Raw genomic sequence first — 18,564 nt, 5'->3', positions numbered from 1 at the left:
TATAGTGGGTAATACTATGATGAATACCTGGACCTTGGATTTAAATGATATTTAGTCTTTCAGGCATATTTGCATATGGTGAACAGGTGAAATGCAGTTAGCGATATTGCTCATTGTGAGGATAATGCTTTTTACTTGCTCAGGCATTTGAAAGCCAAACAAAGTAGAACACTATTATTGTAGTCATTGGTTAGTCCTTGTTAAAATCTCACAAATAAAGAAGCTCCTCTGTATGCTTCAGGAACATCCAGGGCTCAGTCCTATTGAGGCCTTAGGAACTGAGCTGTGAGTTCCTGTTTGCTTCTGAGCCTTTCTTACCAGCCTTGAGACATTGACGGCAGGGCTTGTGCTGTGCTTATTGCCCGTCTCTCACAACTGGTCCTTACACAGAGCAAGTGCTCCAAAATTATTTCCTAAATGAATGATTGAAAGTAACCATATATCTAGTTTAAAATGGGGAAACTAAGTTTTAGATTTAAGAGATTTAAGATTAGAGTCTGAGGAGGGTTTGTATTTAGACAATCCTTTATGTTCATCTCTCCTCAAAAGATCTTTAAAATGGATCTCTGCTTTTAAAAACATAATGGAAAGATGTCCTTTTTTTTCTCTTGGAATCACTGGTCTTCTGACTCTTTTGCAATAACAATACCAAGAACCTGTTTGCTGAGCAAGTATTAAGTGCTAGACGCTGTGTTCAGCTCTGCTGTATATGTGCTAAATCCTTTATGGCTTCATTTAGCACTCACAATCCAAGAGGAGGCTGTTCAGATTATGTTAATTTTGCAGATGAGAAAACTGAGGAACAGGAAGATACCTCCAACATTCAGTGCACTTTTATCCAAATACATTAGAAGGTACTTCTTCTTATGTGGACCCAGCCCTCAAAGAGGTGCATGGTTTGATGAGTGTAACAGCAGGTGGTTTCAGTCCTTACTGTCCCTGCAAAAGGGATACTTGAAGCCTGGAGGCTCTGAAAGGTTGTTACTTGCCCAGTTTTGCAGTCTGATAAATGCTATAATTCAGAATTGAACCCACGTCTGTCTCCCCCACCCCCTGACTGAACACTTCCACAAGTTGCCATTTTAAACCAGATTCTACATTGATTTATATAGGACAAGGGTTGGCAAATTTTTCCTGTAGAAGGCCAAATAGTAAATACATACTTAAGGCTTTGGGGGCCATATGGTCTCTGTCACAACTACTTAACTCTACCATTGTAGTGCAAAAACAGCTATAGACATTATATAAACAAATGGCTGTGTTCAGTAAAACTATGTACACTGACATTGGAATTTCTTGTAACATATTCTTCTTTTGATTTTTTCAGCTTTATGTAATACTGTAAAAAAAAAAAAGGTATTAGCTTGCTGGGGTCTTACCAAATAGATTGGCTGGATTTGACTCTTGTACCATAGTTTCCTAATTCCTGATATCAAATATTCCAAAAAGAATCCAGTAAATGAAATAATTATCTGTTTCATGACTCTGTTTTCTTTCCCTAACTCTAAATTCATGAAACAAAATTGTGGAGACCCATTTTCCCCGTTCTGTGTCTGTTTCATTCTAATGTGGCTGCTGTGAATTCACTATTTTCTAGATAGATTGCAGCAATAATAACTAATGCTCTTTTGAAACTTTCCAGTGATTCCTCTGTCCCATAGTTATGTTGCAAGGGCAGCAGTCACCCTGATTTGTTTTTATATCTCTATGATTCTCTTCACTAGAATTTTAGTTATATTTGGCAGAATAAAGTTTTTTATTCTATAACTTGCTTTTAGTGAAGAAAAGGAAATTAGATGCAGATGACACAGTCCCTGAATACACTAATCCCAGACATCAGCTCGGTTAACTGGATACAAATTCAGGCTTTCCCATTGTGTTTGTTTTGATAGCCAGAGCCACTATCAGAGCAAGAAAGATGTTAGTCATGAAAGAAAAACAGTTTCATTTTGCCCAAAACTTTATAAACATATTGGGGAAATGTGGAACACTACAGAATTCAGTCCCGTAATCAGATACCATGTTGCAAACTATGGACTTAAGAGTCAGATGAAGAAGAGTATGAAACTAGATTTGATTACATATAGATCTATATCACGAGCGAAACTAGAAGCTTCTCAGTTTTACATAGGCATGCCTCTCTTTAGAACTGAAAAAGTTCTAATAAATATTTATTACTCAAATGTCATTTTTCTTAAACAGGGTAGAAATGTTCTTGGCTTGCCAGGGTCTTACAAAATAGATTGGCTGGATTTGACCTTTGTGCCATAGTTTCCTAATTCCTGATATTGAATATTTCAAAAAGAATCCAGTAAATGAAATAGTCATCAGATAGATAGATGATAGACAGACAGATAGATAGATAGATAGATGATAGACAGATAGATAGATAGATAGATAGATAGATAGATAGATAGATAGATAGCAAGACCAGGTTGCATTTTCCCTGACGCTTTTCCCATCATGTTTGGCTTATATATATACTAGGTCTGTAGGTCTTTAGAAAGTGCATAATTTATTTTTAATTAATTTATTTAATTTATTTTTTTTGAGATGGAGTCTTTCTCTGTCGCCCAGGCTGGAGTGCGTGGCATGATCTTGGCTCACTGCAACCTCCGCCTCCCAGATTCACGCCATTCTCCTGCCTCAGCCTCCCGAGTAGCTGGGACTACAGGCGCCCACCACCATGCCTGGCTGATTTTTTGTATTTTTAGTAGAGATGGGGTTTCACCATGTTAGCCAGGATGGTCTCGATCTCCTGACCTTGTGATCCGCCCACCTCAACCTCCCAAAGTGCTGCGATTACAGGTGTGAGCCACTGTGCCCGGCCATTTTTAATTTTTTTAAGACAAATCTTTGCAATCAGTCGATATGATAATATTGTAATAATAAATTATATTTGTATCTGGAGATGCATAATATTTTGTCGATGCTACTAATGGAGGCTTTTTTTAAGGGAAAAATAAAAAATTTTGAGTATCTAGCAGGGCTAGCCCATCTACTTTGTGTTCTGTCAGTGCAATTTTCTGATTTTCCTGTTCTTGGCACATGCATAGAAGAAACAAACTAACCACTAAATTTTTAGCAGTTTCATGGCCTCTAGTTGCATGTCCTTATTTCTGAACATGGGTGTGAATTCTAAGAAAAGGGGAAACCAAATGTTCATAGAGCCCTTTTGAAAGCTGTATAGCACAGCCAAATGGTGTGCCATTTCTATGAGTGCTGTGGCTGGATCCTCATGTGGGAAAGGTCTGGTGAGAAATGTATTCCTTCTGTACATGGACAGTCACAGATAGGGGCTGTCTTACATAAGACCATATTTTTGAAGGTGAGATCAAGATTTATACATTTGACAATATTTCTCCCATAGGGTACCACAGTTTTCCATGCGTTTCTATGACATCCTTTTTCCGTTATATTCTTGTTTGCCTAGATTTTAGAGCTTAATGTGTTTGTGCCTGTGGACGGTAGCTGATTTATTCATGAATATTTAGAATTTTGTAAAGAAAGATGCACTTTGGAATGTTCTTTCTAAGAACAGGCTACTTAGGTATTTGCCTGAAAATTTCTATAAAGTATTAGTATTAATCTTCTTTCTCTTTTGCTCTTTTTCTTTTCTTCCCTGAATTTTTTCTCATAAAAAAAAAAACCACAAAACAAAACATTATTACTGAGGATCCTAGGGATTAGGCATTTGGGAGATACCCCTTGTTCCCTTGGAAACTGTTTGTACAGTAAAAGTTCAGTAAACATTCTTCTTTGTATCCATGTCTTTTGCTGTTTTTTTTCTTTAGAGTTCATTCTTTCAGTAAGTAGTTTTTTCTTTCTTTCTTTCTTTTTTTTTTTTTTGAGATGGAGTCTCACTCTGTCTCCCAGGCTGGAATGCAGTGGTGCAATCTCGGCTCATGGCAAACTCCACCTCCCGGGTTCAAGCAATTCTCCTGCCTCAGCCTCCTGAGTAGCTGGGATTACAGGTGCCCGCCACCACGCCCAGCTAATTTTTGTATTTTTAGTAGAGATGGGGTTTCACTATGTTGGCCAGGCTGGTCTCATACTCCTGACCTCGTGATCACCTGCCTCGGCCTCCCAAAGTGCTGGGATTACAGGCGTGAGCCATTGTGCCCGGCCTCAGTAAGTAGTTTTTAAATGCCAGACATGGAGTATACGGTGCTAAGTAGGCTAGATGTAACCCCTGACTTCCTAGAGCTCACAATAAATCATGGTAGAAAATATAAATTAAACAAATAATCACAAAATTCATAATTCGTTGCATCGTGATAAGTACTAAAGATTAAAGTATAGAGAAATATGAGTTGTTTAATCAAAGGGGCATTTTATAGTCAAAGGGTCCAAGGAAGACTTCCATGAAGTGACTTAATATGAGCCCTGTAAAATGAGTAGGTGGTTTTTATATGAAAGGGTTTAAGAACAGCGCCCAGAGTAGGTGCCTTAAGGCTGGAGGAGCTCAGTAGTTAGGAAGGGAAAGAACACCACTGTGGTTTTTGTGTAGGTCATATTTCAGCTTCAATGAGAGAACATCTGATTTATGAATGCATGAGATTGCATTCTTGCATTGATGTGTATATACCATTTCCCAACAAGAACCATTGTTGGTTTGTCATCTACTTGATAATTTTTTTTAATATTCATCTTATTATTTAACTACATGCAATAAATTGTGTTTCACCATCAAAAAGTCTGCAGGATTCTGCCTAAATTCTGCCTATGGGTAATTTGCTTTGAACCAAAATAATCCTTACATGAAAGATAGAGACCAGTCTAATCCTGATTAGTGATTTTTCCTAAATTCCTTTTAGATGTATTTGTAAAGAATCTGCAGCATTTTGGGAAAGTTTTTGTTTATTATTTCCTGTCACAACAATATAACATAAAACATAATATATATTAAATAGAAGATACATTTGTAGAATTTCAAGAAATTAAAATAATATAGTTAAAATCTAGTTTGACATTATACTTTCTGAATTATTTTCTGGTGTTTCCTTAAAATATATATACATTTGGAATTTGACCATAAGCTGTGCTGACTGCTTTGTTTTTGCTTTTTGCCTACTTTAGTCTAACGGGATCGCAGCCATCATTGTTATTTTGGTGTTACTGCTACTCCTGGGGATCGGTTTGATGTGGTGGTTTTGGCCCCTTTGCTGCAAAGTGGTGAGTAAGAAGGATTTACAACTCTACTTAAAAAAAATTAGAAAGATGTAAAGTAAGGTCTGAAATATGAATAAATGCCATGTTAATAACAGCAAAGTTTCAGTTTGCAAAATGAATTTTAATTGTCTTCACTACTATAATAAATTCTAGAAAACATGCAGGTCAGTAAATATTTATTTAAAAAATTCATCTAAAAAGCACTTTTAAATCAGGTTTGTGGGAAGAGGAGGAGAGAAAAATAGGGGAAGTAGTTGGGATAAAGGGTATTTTCATTCAAGTGCAAGAGAAATTCAAGTAAATTGAATGATGTTTTCTTTTGGGTTCATTGAGAGGAGTTGATAATTTGTCAGTTTTTTTAAGTGCTCATTTAATTATTCATTTCCTCTTTGAAGGGTCTACCATTTCATGACCTTCTCTGTTTGCTACTGAAAAATATTTGTTCGGAAATTAGTCATGCACAATTGTCAGCATATCTGTTAAACTGCTACTTTTGGAGTAATGACGAGGAGTTTCAGTTTGTGTCATTTTTTGTGTTTGTATAAAGCCTGTGAAAGAATATGGGTGTATATCAGTTATCTATTGCTGCTGTAACAAATTGCCACACATATGTTGACTAAAAGCAACACAAATTTATTATCTAACAGCTGTCTAATCACAGCTTTCACATGAGTCTCACTGGGTTTACGTGGACTAAAATGTGTTGGAAGGGATGTGTTTCTTTCTGAATGCTCTAAGGAAGAAGCCATTCCTTTGCCTTTTCCAGCTTCTAAAGGCTACTCAGATTCTTTGCCTCATACCCCCCTTTCTCTATCTGCAAAGCCAGATGTGTTGCATCTTTTCAACCATTTTTCTGTAGTCACATCTCCCTCTAACTCTGAACCCAGCTGGGAAAGGTCCTCCAGTTTTAAGGAACCATGGGATTAGATTGGACGCACTTAGCTAATCCAGGATCATCTCCCATCTCAAGATCCTGAACCTTAATCACTTCTGCAAAATCCCTTTTGCCATTAAGATAACATATTCACAGTACCAGGTAATTAAGTTATGGAGATGTTGGTGGGGGGTATCATTCTACACATTTCAAGCAATCCAATTTAGATTGTTCAGGTTTCATAGAAAAAAAATTATCTTAAGGAAGCCCTCTTCCAAATCATGCCTACTATTTATTTTGAGAATATTCCTTTTATTATAAGCACATTGTGTAGAACTTAATATTGTGTAGTTCATGGTAATGTTTTACATAATACTGCAAGACTGCCTTTTCCCGCCGCTCTCATGTTTGCTGACTGATTTCATCATCCTTGCAATTTCAGATGTGCTTTGTTTTAGCCCTGCGTTTATTATTAGTTGTACTTCAGTTTGCTTTCATGAGGCAACTTGACAATCCTTTATCTCAGAGCAGTTGGCCCATGGAGGAGGCATAGAATTAACTCAGATAACAGTAGAGACAAGACGCATCCTGTCTCTTTGCTGAACTAATCAGTTTCCTGCCATAGCAATTTATGCTCAGTTTCCTGTTGTAATCTTGATTATCTAGTTATGGCTATTTTAGGGTGGCTAGCATTCTTGAGTATCACATTAAAAAGCAAAAAGATGCCCTAATGTAATTTGTGCTCCTTGGTTTTTTAATTTAAACTTTGCAGTGGTGCATTTCCCCTCCTTTTTTTAAATTATCACTTTGCAATTTCATTTAGTATTGACCAGAGGGCTCAGAAGTGTCAAAGTGTATGATTTTTAAAAAGACATATGCAAAATGAAATGTGCTCAAATATGGGTTTTGACTGTCATTTTGGATATTAAGGAGAGGAGCCAATCATCAGGTGACTAGATCAGAGACTAGATACATGGTACTCTAAAGCCTTGGACTCTACAGATCTCAAATCATGGAGTTACTTTCTACGAGGCATAAAGGGAGCCCTTTAATGGTGGAGTATCAGGATGTCAGAAAGGCTTCCCGTCCTCAGAAACATCACAAATGCTTATTAATTTCCTGAACTTATTTAATAGAGGAAACTTCCTTTATTTTACCCTTAGAAATATAGATTAAAAAGCAATTAGCCCTTATAAGTTCATATAAGTATGAACTTATATTTATACCTACATATAAGTGAATGATAGCAAACGTTTTCTAAAGTAGATTTTAAAGCAGGAAGAAAGGAGAGGTGAAATTCTGAATTCAGCCCTTGGCTAATATTGATTATCTAGTAGGTGTCAGTACTGTGCTAGGAACTGGGGATACAAAAGTGCTTATAATATGATATGGAAATTCACATTTTAATATGGAAACATAGAAATGTGTGCAAATAAGTGTAAATGGAAGGTAACTGAAGTCCTAATAGCGGCGTGTGTAAAGAACAGTAGAAACATAAAGGAGGAAGGGTTTGCCAAGACTAAAGGGAGCATTTCAGAGAAACCTGACTGACCTGATGACTCCCAATTCAGTTCTGAGTCATGAATAAGATGTTGACAGTTCTTGAATGACATTTCAGATGAAGTGCATGTGGAATCATGAGTTATTCTGACATGTTTTCAGAAGTGCTAGGCTGAGACCTACTGTGCTAGGTGAATGATGGTTTGGATTTTGGCATGAACCCATAGGGGAGGACCTCCTATGTCTTGTAATAGAAAGTCTGATCTCTTCCCAGGGATGACGAGAAGCCACTGGAGAGATTCGATCAGTCTAATTACCTGAAAGAAACTTTGCTGGCTTCACAGTAGTGCTAAAGTCTAGTCCTGGCAAAAATTATTTAAGACTGTATCCAACTGAGTTCCATTAACAATGGAAATGGAAAGGCAGTGACAGATATTGCACCTTAAATATAGCCAGAACAAAGTACTTCTAACAAAGTATAGACAGCTGGAATCTCAAGCTGAAATTAAGTGAGCTAGAGAAAAATGAAGACATGATGTAAAAAGGAGGTAGTGTGACAATAACCTTGTGGAAAAGGATCTTGAGTTTTCAGAGGGTATTATAATACAATCGCAGGGTGTTTATCTTATTTTGTTTCTTTTAGGTTATATATTTGTGCAATGCTGAAATTAGGATGTGACCATTTAAATAATTCTTAGTAGCGTTAAATTATTGGAGATCAATATGACTTTGACTGTCATTCCTAGCAATGAACTTTTTAATAGAAAATGAAATTTATCTATTTATCAGCGTGGTGTTGTGCAAATTTCTTTTTGCTTGAATATGTTTTAAGAACTAGTGGCAAATATTTAAATCTAATCTTTCAACTGAAACATGACTAAAGAGCTTAAAATGTCTATTCTCAGGCACATTTATGGTGTGTCAGCTATCCACCTCCATGAGCATCGTATGCTCAGGAGCTCTTATCAATACAGAGAACATGGAAAGAAAACTCCCTGAATAGAAATCTCAATATCTGTCACATATTCTTCATTCAGTCATTTCATGTTTTATAAAATGCCAAAATATGAAATATTAAGTCATATTTTATAACATGATTGAATCACTTGTTATCCAGAGTTTAAAATCTCATAGACCTCTAATCAATGAGTCAGTGATGACAATGTTACTTATATTTTAGACAGAGATTCTCAGGTTTTTTTTTTCTTTTTTCTGCCTCAACAGCAAGTCTTTCAGAACAGTGGCTGTCAGGTTTCCAATGGTGGTAATTCTCCTGGAGAGGAAGTGGGTTTGGGTAGACTGAGGCAGCTCCAGAGGTCATGCAGTTTGAAAAAGCCTCCTTCAATAAAGTGAATAAAGATCCCTAAAGACATGCAGGTCTCAATCCCTGGAACCTTGTAATGTTACCTGATATAGCAAAAGGGACTTTACAGATGTGATTAAATTAAAAATCTTGACATTATTCAGGATGATCTAGATGGGTCATAAATGCAGTCCAAGCCTTATAAAAGGGAGACAGAGGGAGATTAGACTATAGATGGAAAGAAGGCAGTGTAACCATAGATGCAGAAATTGGAGTGATGCAGCCACAAGCCAAGGAATGCTGGCAGCCACTAGAAGCTGGAAGAGGCAAGAAACAAATCCATCCCTAGAGCCTACAGGAAGAACCAGCTTGGCCAACACCTGATTTTTAACCCTGTAAGACTCACTTCAGACTCCAGACTTCCAGAAGTATAAAAAAAAAGTTTCTGTGGTTTTAAGACACTAAGTGTATGATAATTTGTTATAGCAGCAAGAAGAAACCTATATTATCTCCTGAATTTTCTGATATTCCCCAGAGTTGGGGAATTTTTATGTTTTCAGACAAACTCATTACAAAAAAGAAAAGAAAACAAAAACCCTGAACTTTTTATTTTTTTATTTTATTTTTTTTCATAATTTTTTTATTTCAAAAATGTTATATAAATGGAATCATACAGCATGTAATATTTTGAGACTGGCTTTTTTTCATTCAGCATAATTCCCGAGATCCACCCAAGCTTCTGTGTGTAGTCGTAGTCCACTCTGTTTTTACTGCTGCATAGTAATTAATGGTGTAGATGTACCACAGTCTGTTGAATTATTCACCTGTTGAAAAACATTTAGGTTGTTTATAGGTTTTCCCTATTATGAATAAAGCTACTATGAACATTTATGTACAGGTTTTTACATAAACTTAAGTTTTCATTTTTCTAGGTAAATGCCATCTGTGACTCCTGAGTTATAAAGTAGTTGTATATCTAGTTTTATGGGAAACTGCCAAACTGTTACCCAGAGTGGTGGTACCATCTCACATGCCCACTAACAATGAATGAGTGATTCAGTTGCTCCTTCAGATTTTCAGCATTTGGTGTTTTCTCTATTTTTATTATTGCCATTCTAATAGGTATGTAATGATATCTCATCGTGGTTTTAATTTGAGTTTCTATAACAGCTAGTGAGGAACATGTTTTCGTGTGCTTATCTGCCATTATTTGCTTATATCTTTGGTGAAATGGCTCTAAATGTATTTTGTCCATTTTCTTTTTATTTTATTTTATTTTATTATTATTATACTTTAAGTTTTAGGGTACATGTGCACAATGTGCAGGTTAGTTACATATGTATACATGTGCCATGCTGGTGTGCTGCACCCATTAACTTGTCATTTAGCATTAGGTATATCTCCTAAAGCTATCCTTCCCCCCTCCCCCCACCCCACAACAGTCCCCAGAGTGTGATGTTCCCCTTCCTGTGTCCATGTGTTCTCATTGTTCAATTCCCACCTATGAGTGAGAATATGCGGTGTTTGGTTTTTTGTTCTTGCGATAGTTTACTGAGAATGCTGATTTCCAATTTCATCCATGTCCCTACAAAGGACATGAACTCATCATTTTTTATGGCTGCATAGTATTCCATGGTGTATATGTGCCACATTTTCTTAATCCAATCTATCATTCATGGACATTTGCGTTGGTTCCAAGTCTTTGCTATTGTGTGTAGTGCCGCAATAAACATACGTGTGCATATGTCTTTATAGCAGCCTGATTTATAGTCCTTTGGGTATATACCCAGTAATGGGATGGCTGGGTCAAATGGTATTTCTAGTTCTAGATCCCTGAGGAATGGCCACACTGACTTTCACAATGGTTAAACTAGTTTACAGTCCCACCAACAGTGTAAAAGTGTTCCTATTTCTCCACATCCTCTCCAGCACCTGTTGTTTCCTGACTTTTTAATGATTGCCATTCTAACTGGTGTGAGATGGTATCTCATTGTGGTTTTGATTTGCATTTCTCTGATGGCCAGTGATGGTGAGCATTTTTTCATGTGTTTTTTGGCTGCATAAATGTCTTCTTTTGAGAAGTGTCTGTTCATGTCCTTCACCCACTTTTTGATAGGGTTGTTGGTTTTTTTCTTGTAAATTTTTTTGAGTTCATTGTAGATTCTGGATATGAGCCCTTTGTCAGATGAGTAGGTTGCAAAAATTTTCTCCCATTTTGTAGGTTGCCTGTTGACTCTGATGGTAGTTTCTTTTGCTGTGCAGAAGCTCTTTAGTTTAATTAGATCCCGTTTGTCAATTTTGGCTTTTGTTGCCATTGCTTTTGGTGTTTTAGACATGAAGTCCTTGCCCATGCCTATGTCCTGAATGGTAATGCCTAGGTTTTCTTCTAGGGTTTTTATGGTTTTAGGTCTAACGTTTAAGTCTTTATTTCATCTTGAATTAATTTTTGTATAAGGTGTAAGGAAGGGATCCAGTTTCAGCTTTCTACACATGGCTAGCCAGTTTTCCCAGCACCATTTATTAAATAAGGAATCCTTTCCCCATTGCTTGTTTTTGTCAGGTTCGTCAAAGATCGGTTAGTTGTAGATATGCGGCATTATTTCTGAGGGCTCTGTTCTGTTCCGTTTATCTATACCTCTGTTTTGGTACCAGTACCATGCTGTTTTGGTTACTGTACCCTTGTAGTATAGTTTGAAGTCAGGTAGCGTGATGCCTCCAGCTTTGTTCTTTTGGCTTAGGATTGACTTGGTGATGCGGGCTCTTTTTTGGTTCCATACGAACTTTAAAGTAGTTTTTTCCAATTCTGTGAAGAAAGTCATTGGTAGCTTGATGGGGATGGCATTGAATCTATAAATTACCTTGGGCAGTATGGCCATTTTCAGGAAACCCATCTCACGTGCAGAGACACACATAGGCTCAAAATAAAAGGATGGAGGAAGATCTACCAAGCAAATGGAAAACAAAAAAAGGCAGGGGTTGCAATCCTAGTCTCTGATAAAACAGAATTTAAACCAACAAAGATCAAAAGAGACAAAGAAGGCCATTACATAACGGTAAAGGGATCAATTCAACAGGAAGAGCTAACTATCCTAAATATATATGCACCCAATACAGGAGCACCCAGATTCATAAAGCAAGTCCTGAGTGACCTACAAAGAGACTTAGACTCCCACACAATAATAATGGGAGACTTTAACACCCCACTGTCAACATTAGACAGATCAACGAGACAGAAAGTTAACAAGGATACCCAGGAATTGAACTCAGCTCTGCACCAAGCGGACCTAATAGACATCTACAGAACTCTCCACCCCAAATCAACAGAATATACATTTTTTTCAACCCTGAACTTTTTATAGGGTACAAGCAATTGCAAAATAAGAGGCAATGAAATATTCTTTAAAATATTTGCGGTGTTTGGTTTTTTGTTCTTGTGATAGTTTACTCAGAATGTGGGAATTGAACAATGAGATCACATGGACACAGGAAGGGGAATATCACACTCTGGGGACTGTTGTGGGGTGGGGGGAGGGGGGAGGGATAGCATCGGGAGATATACCTAATGCTAGATGACGAGTTAGTGGGTGCAGCGCACCAGCATGGCACATGTATACATATGTAACTAACCTGCACAATGTGCACATGTACCCTAAAACTTAAAGTATAATAAAAAAAAATTTGCAATGGTACCAAGGCTATTGAAACCAATATGCATCCTTTAAAATTAGAATAACCCCTCTGTTTTGTAACTTTGAAGTTAATATGCATAATGCTTCATATACTGAGTAGAATTTACTTACAATCTTAGAGCAACAAGGGATTTTTGGAAGAGACGGGTTTACAATTTTCAGAAGTGCCTCACGCATATATGTTATTAGAATCATTTGACAACAGAGATCCATGGACAGCTTCCTCAGGGGTGATATGATTTGCTAGAGGAGCCAGCACAGTTTCATTCATATTCAGATATTGAACTATTGAACCTCTTAAAAGCTAGAAATTGACCTTCACTCTATGGAGGAAAGCAAAGAATTTGAACATTTGACTAATTACTGTGTCTGTGAAACTATGACGTTTACCTGGTTAGCTGTACCAGTTTTATATCAGGAAAAAGAAACATGTCAAAGTCAGAAACATCCCTTCTATGATGTTTTATATTAAATTTTTAGCCAAAATTCTTATAACATTATCCTGTCAGGTGAGCAAATGTTACCCTTTTGGTGATGCTTAAGTAAAATTACAATTAGATAATGATTTATGTATTATTTGTTTAAAATCTCTCTCCCCTTATAGACTAATAATTTCATGAAGGCAGGTACTGTGTGTATTCTACCTATCATTGTAAACCAGGCATGTTGCATGGTGAATACTTATTATTGAATGCATCTTCTTCACCTATCCCAATTCTTAAAATTGAGAAAATTGATATTGCTTTACTTGGAAATCAAATTCAAAATAGAGTACCTTTTTGCTAGTTATAGTAAAAAATTCTGTCAATTATGGAGAAGTATTGTGCTTGAGGAAATTTATGATACAATCACTCTTGATATAATTTTCATTGACTTCATTTAAAATTTGTTTCTCATAATATATATACAATGGGAAATGTGGCCTTTGTAATCATTTTTAGTAGGAACTAAGATACAACTACATAAGAATTTATTAATTATAATGAAACTCTGAAGTAGAAGCAGTTCAACTTTTGTCTAGTTGCTGCTACATATACCCCACAGGGATGCCTCACCTAAGAATTGTGAATTTATGTGGAAAAAAATATATATCTTTCTTTTTTCTTCCAACTGAAATTTATCGTTTTTGTCATTGATTTTTTTACCCTGCCCACAAAAATATTAGCAGTTGTGAAAACTGTCACCAGTAGCAATCACATGTATCCCATATCATATTTATAGTTGCTCAGATTTTTTTTTGAGTCAGGTTCTCTGTCACTCAGGCTGGAGTGCAGTGACATGATCATAGTTTGCTGCAGCCTAGAACTCCTCGGCTTAAGGGATCCTCCTGCCTCAGCTTCAGCCTCCCAAGTAGTGGGGAATATAGGCATGCACCATAACTACTGACTACTATTCAGATATCTTTGAAATGTGTTTTACAGGCATTGCTACTTTAAAATTATGATAGTTTCTAAACTTATTACAAGAGCTTATTACTTAATGAGTTAATAAAGAAACATACATATTTCCATATCTCATATTTTAAAAAATAAATTTGAAAATTACATTTCAATATGATTGGGGTCCTTTAAATTCTATACATTTTAATTTAGAATAATTATTATGGGATAGATTCACCAGACTGCTAAGGAGTGGTGTAGTAGTCCATTTTTACACTCCTATGAAGAACTACCTGAAACTGGGTAATTTATAAAGAAAGGTTTAATTGACTTACAGTTCTGCATAGCTGGGGAGGCCTCAGGAAACTTACAATCATGGCAGAAGGTGAAGAGGAAGCAAAGACCTTCTTCATGAAGAAGGAAAGAGAGGCCTAGTAAGAGGAGGGGAAACTGCCTCATTAAATAATCAGATCTTGTGAGAGCTCACTATCATGAGAACAGCATGGGGAAAACCGCCTCCATGATTCAGTCACCTCTCACCCAGGTCCCTCCCTCAACACGTGGGGATTATGGGGATTACAATTCGAGATGAGATTTGGGTGGGGACAAAGAGCCAAACCATATCAAGGGGCATATAATAAAAAAGATTAAGGAAAAACTCCTGCCATAGAAGATCTGGTCAGCCAAGATGCTTTTAATAAGAGACTATTTTTAAATTTTAAATCTTTCAGTTCATACTAAAGAGTCTTTTCAAGAATGACAGAGAGATGTGATGTAATCTAAATGTTGCAGATAGTGTCCTCTGTGTGCGTGGGCTTTCCATACAAAAGTATAAATCTAAACCAATGATATTTGGAGACCTTTATCTAGCAAGCCTTATAAAAAAGGAGCCTCATGTAAATTTGAATATTTAGGCACTACCATTAGTGAATGATAGATTGTGTTGAGTTTTCAAACTGTTCCATGAAGGGAAGAGTTCTCATTTTTTGTGAGGTTATGTCTTAACATCTGTTTAAGAGTCTGTATCCTGTTCATTGAGTATCCTTCCTCATATCCATCCTCTATAACTGCCTTTCTTTAACAAAGCCGTCATCAGCATCCTGTCTTTTTCCCTAGGTTAAAAAGGCAGGAGGCATTAAAACAAAACTTATCCTGTTTTGAATTGTTAGTGACATCAGAAATTATGGATGTTTTCATCATTGTTTAGATTAGGGGATATTTTGAGTTAAGAGCAAATTTGTTTTACTAATCAGGATAGGAGAAATGACAGTCCTATAGTTGCATAGTTTGGGGTAACCAGACAGTCCAGATGAATTACAGATGAGGTGGCAAACAAAGGCTTTCTGTAGTGTTGTCAGTTAGATTGTGTTATATAGCTGCAAATAATACCTGAATATGCTGAAAATGACAAATGTTCACTTGCTTTAGTGTCCTTGGCCAATGTTCTGCAGCCTCAAGGGAAAATTGCAAATTCATTTTTCTTTAGTGCATTTAAGACGTTACATAAAGATCTCATAGATCTTAATTTAAAATACCATTTACAAATGGTCTTTTTTATGTTTTTAAAGCCCAATTTGCCTATAAGTTAGTTGATCTCACGCGATGATGATATGTCTAGCTGGAACTCTATAGAATCATTTTGTTAGCCAGCAACAGCTGTGCTGTTCTTTTCTAAATAGTAATAATGCTGTACATTGCACTTGTTTTTATTGTTGAGAAGGGCTCCTGGTACCTTTATTGAGGTACTTTGAGAGCAGCCTGATTTCTTTTTTGGAATGCACAATAAAATATAAGTAATTTAAATTTTAATATACCTTCCTTACACCATTAATTAAAATGATTTATGTTTGGTTGCCTTCTTGAAATAGAGTGTGATGTTAGGTCTTTCATGCTTTCATGGTGATGCTTTCCGACAGAGCATCTTTTACGAGACAGTATCAAACTCATCCTGGTCTCAGTTTATTTGCTTTGACAGAAGCACCTTTACTTAACTCCTGGCAGAATACACTCTCACACTGTTCTTCTTAGTTCTCATTTAGCATTCTAAATTATATTTATTGTCCAGATTTCAGGCTACTTATTTACTTGTTCAAAGTAGAATTATTTGATCATTGATGAGTTTGTCGAGGAAGAAATAAAAAGCAGAGGATGAGATAACTTGAATCATATTTTGGTCAGGATGTTGAAGGCTAGATGTTGAAGTTAGATACTTTGTGGGATTCAGAAAAGAAGGACTTCACAAGCAGTAATGTAAGAACTTTGTGTTTTTGTATGTCAAAAGAAAGGCATTTTACTTCCTCTCTGATCTTATCAAAAAGAAAAGGGAGAATGAAAGGAAGACCCCCATATATTTTAAAGAAATTCTTGTAAATACTAAGAATGTTTCTCTATTGTCTGTGGGTCCCTAGGCACCTAGATGACATTGCCGATAAATTGGGCATTTTTTTTGTCACTGGCAAAAATCAGTTCTGAAATACTACTTAGTCTACAGTCATTGTACAATATCTTTTTTTTTTAATCCAAGGCAATTCAATGTTGACAGTTCTTTTCACTCTTTTCTGAATATTGGAACATATGATTGCATCAAGCTGGCTGCAGGCTCCAGTGCTGACATTTTTTAGCGCAAAGAATGCCCATATCACTTGAACATTTGAAAAGTGTTAATGAGCAGATCAAAAGGACTGTTGCCTGAAGCAGCTAACTTTTTTTTTTTTAAAGAAATCGGCTCTCTTCCAAACTGAAATCTTCATTCTAGCAGCTAAGTAGATGAGATGTAATCCTTCCTGATGATGATAATAACAAATGAAAAAAAAATTGGAGAAGAATCAAACTCTGCATATGGTTCATAAAGTGGTGAAAGTGTTTTCCAGAATCTTCAATACAGAGCTGAAGGATGCTAAGTGGAAAAAATTCTGGCAACTAGGCAATATTATGCCTTTTAAAATCTGCAAATTCTCATAAAATATGGTGCATATGAATACATTCTTTTCTGAAATGAATGTGTATTCTTGCACTATTTGATATAAGAATGGAATTCTCATGACTGTAGTTTTTAATGTATTTTTACTAACAGTAAATCTTTCTTTTCTCTTGAACTAGTTTTACTGAAATGTAGGAATGTCAGTTGAACACAGATTTTTGCCATTTTTGGCTTTTGAGCCAAATGGCTTCAGATTATTTTCACCCTTCTTTGTTACTCATGAGGTTGTGTGGCAGAGTGGAGAGAGGGAAGATTTTGGAACATCACAAGAAAACCATTTTGTTTCTCGTCCCCAAATTTTTATGTGGGTGACATTGGGCATATTAGCTAAATGTTATATCTATATAAAATGGTGATAAACTCTATCTTACATAGTTATTAAAAGTTTTAAATATAACTATCTGTGTAATTATCTATCATCTATTTGTCAATTCATTCATTCATCCATCCATCCATCCATCCATCCATCCATCCATCCATATATCCATCCGTCCATCTACCCATCCATCCATGCAAGTAAGTAACAACTACTCAACAAATCATAGGCTTTTTCTTCTGCACCCTTTCCCTTTGCAAACTAAATCTTATTTTAAAAAGATGTCATATGGCAGAAGTTGAATTCAGAGTTGGAGATAGGTAGACTTGGTCCTCGGTTTGAATCCTAATTCTGTGTTTTCTCTTTGTATATATTTGGGCAAGTTATTGAAGTTACAGCTTTCCTCTCCTTATATTTAAAATGAGGATAAACATAGTGATTGCACAGAGTTATTATGAAAATAAAAGAGCTATAGAGACAGAGCATGTGGCATCTGGCAGCACCAATAAAGGGTGGTTCCTGTTAATAGTGTTAACAACACACAGATGAGCCTTAGCTCTGGTTCAGTTTCTGAAGGTACTATTATTTGTTGTGATGGTGGTTGTGTGCCTTAATTTACCAGATCAAAATGTGATTTAGATAGAGCTTTGAGGGCTTCGTTTTCATTATTAACAATGTAGAAAATATACTTGTCAGGACTTTAATTCATTTTAAATGTATAATAAGTCATGAATTATTCACACAAAAGAATAATGGCATGCTATTGAAAAGAACTCTAATGTTCTTTTCTGGAATAAGGTGAATATAATTGCATATAGACATATGGCCATATTTATCCATGGAAAGGCATAGAAGCAAAAACCTGGTGGAAACATTGTAATATGTATTTTTTATCATTTTATAAGAATTGACATTTTGACAAGGACCTACAGTTAATCCAATTTATTTCCCAGATGAATAAACTTAGTATACTTCTATCTCCTCTTCTACAATTGGGTTATCTGACTTTATTGGTTCAGGAAAAAATTTAGTGCTTCATTTTCTTAGGGACTAGTAATATTTTAGTTTCATGTAAATCTATCTGTGTATTATTTTTGTATATTTTTTCCTCAATATTTGACTTATACATTTGGAAATCAACTATAATTTTTTGTGAACGTTCTCAGTTCCATCAATTTCACTTTCAGTATATTTTTAGTACCTTTAGTATCTGCTGTGTGCAGAGCACTTTATTAGGCATGATGACATGTATAAATAAGGAGAAATAATTATTGCCATTAAGAAATTTGTAATTTTCAGTGATAATTTAAAAATTACAAAATCAACATATAAACCCAAATTAATGATGCAT

General features: G+C 35.9%; 1 protein-coding gene across 4 annotated transcripts in view; it reads left to right on the top strand.

Moving 5' to 3' along the window:
- ANTXR2 (ANTXR cell adhesion molecule 2) overlaps positions 1 to 18,564 on the top strand; it is a 172,327-nt gene that overhangs the window by 59,777 nt on the left and 93,986 nt on the right. For all 4 annotated transcript variants that reach the window (NM_001286780.2, NM_001286781.2, NM_058172.6 and 1 more), the window contains exon 12: positions 5,080 to 5,175. In NM_001286780.2, the coding sequence (NP_001273709.1) occupies positions 5,080 to 5,175 (96 nt within the window). The remainder of the gene's footprint in view (positions 1 to 5,079; positions 5,176 to 18,564) is intronic.

This window comes from Homo sapiens, chromosome 4, assembly GCF_000001405.40.
Source record: "Homo sapiens chromosome 4, GRCh38.p14 Primary Assembly".
Classification (NCBI taxonomy): Eukaryota; Metazoa; Chordata; class Mammalia; order Primates; family Hominidae; genus Homo; species Homo sapiens.
This window is presented reverse-complemented; position numbering and strand designations above follow the sequence as displayed.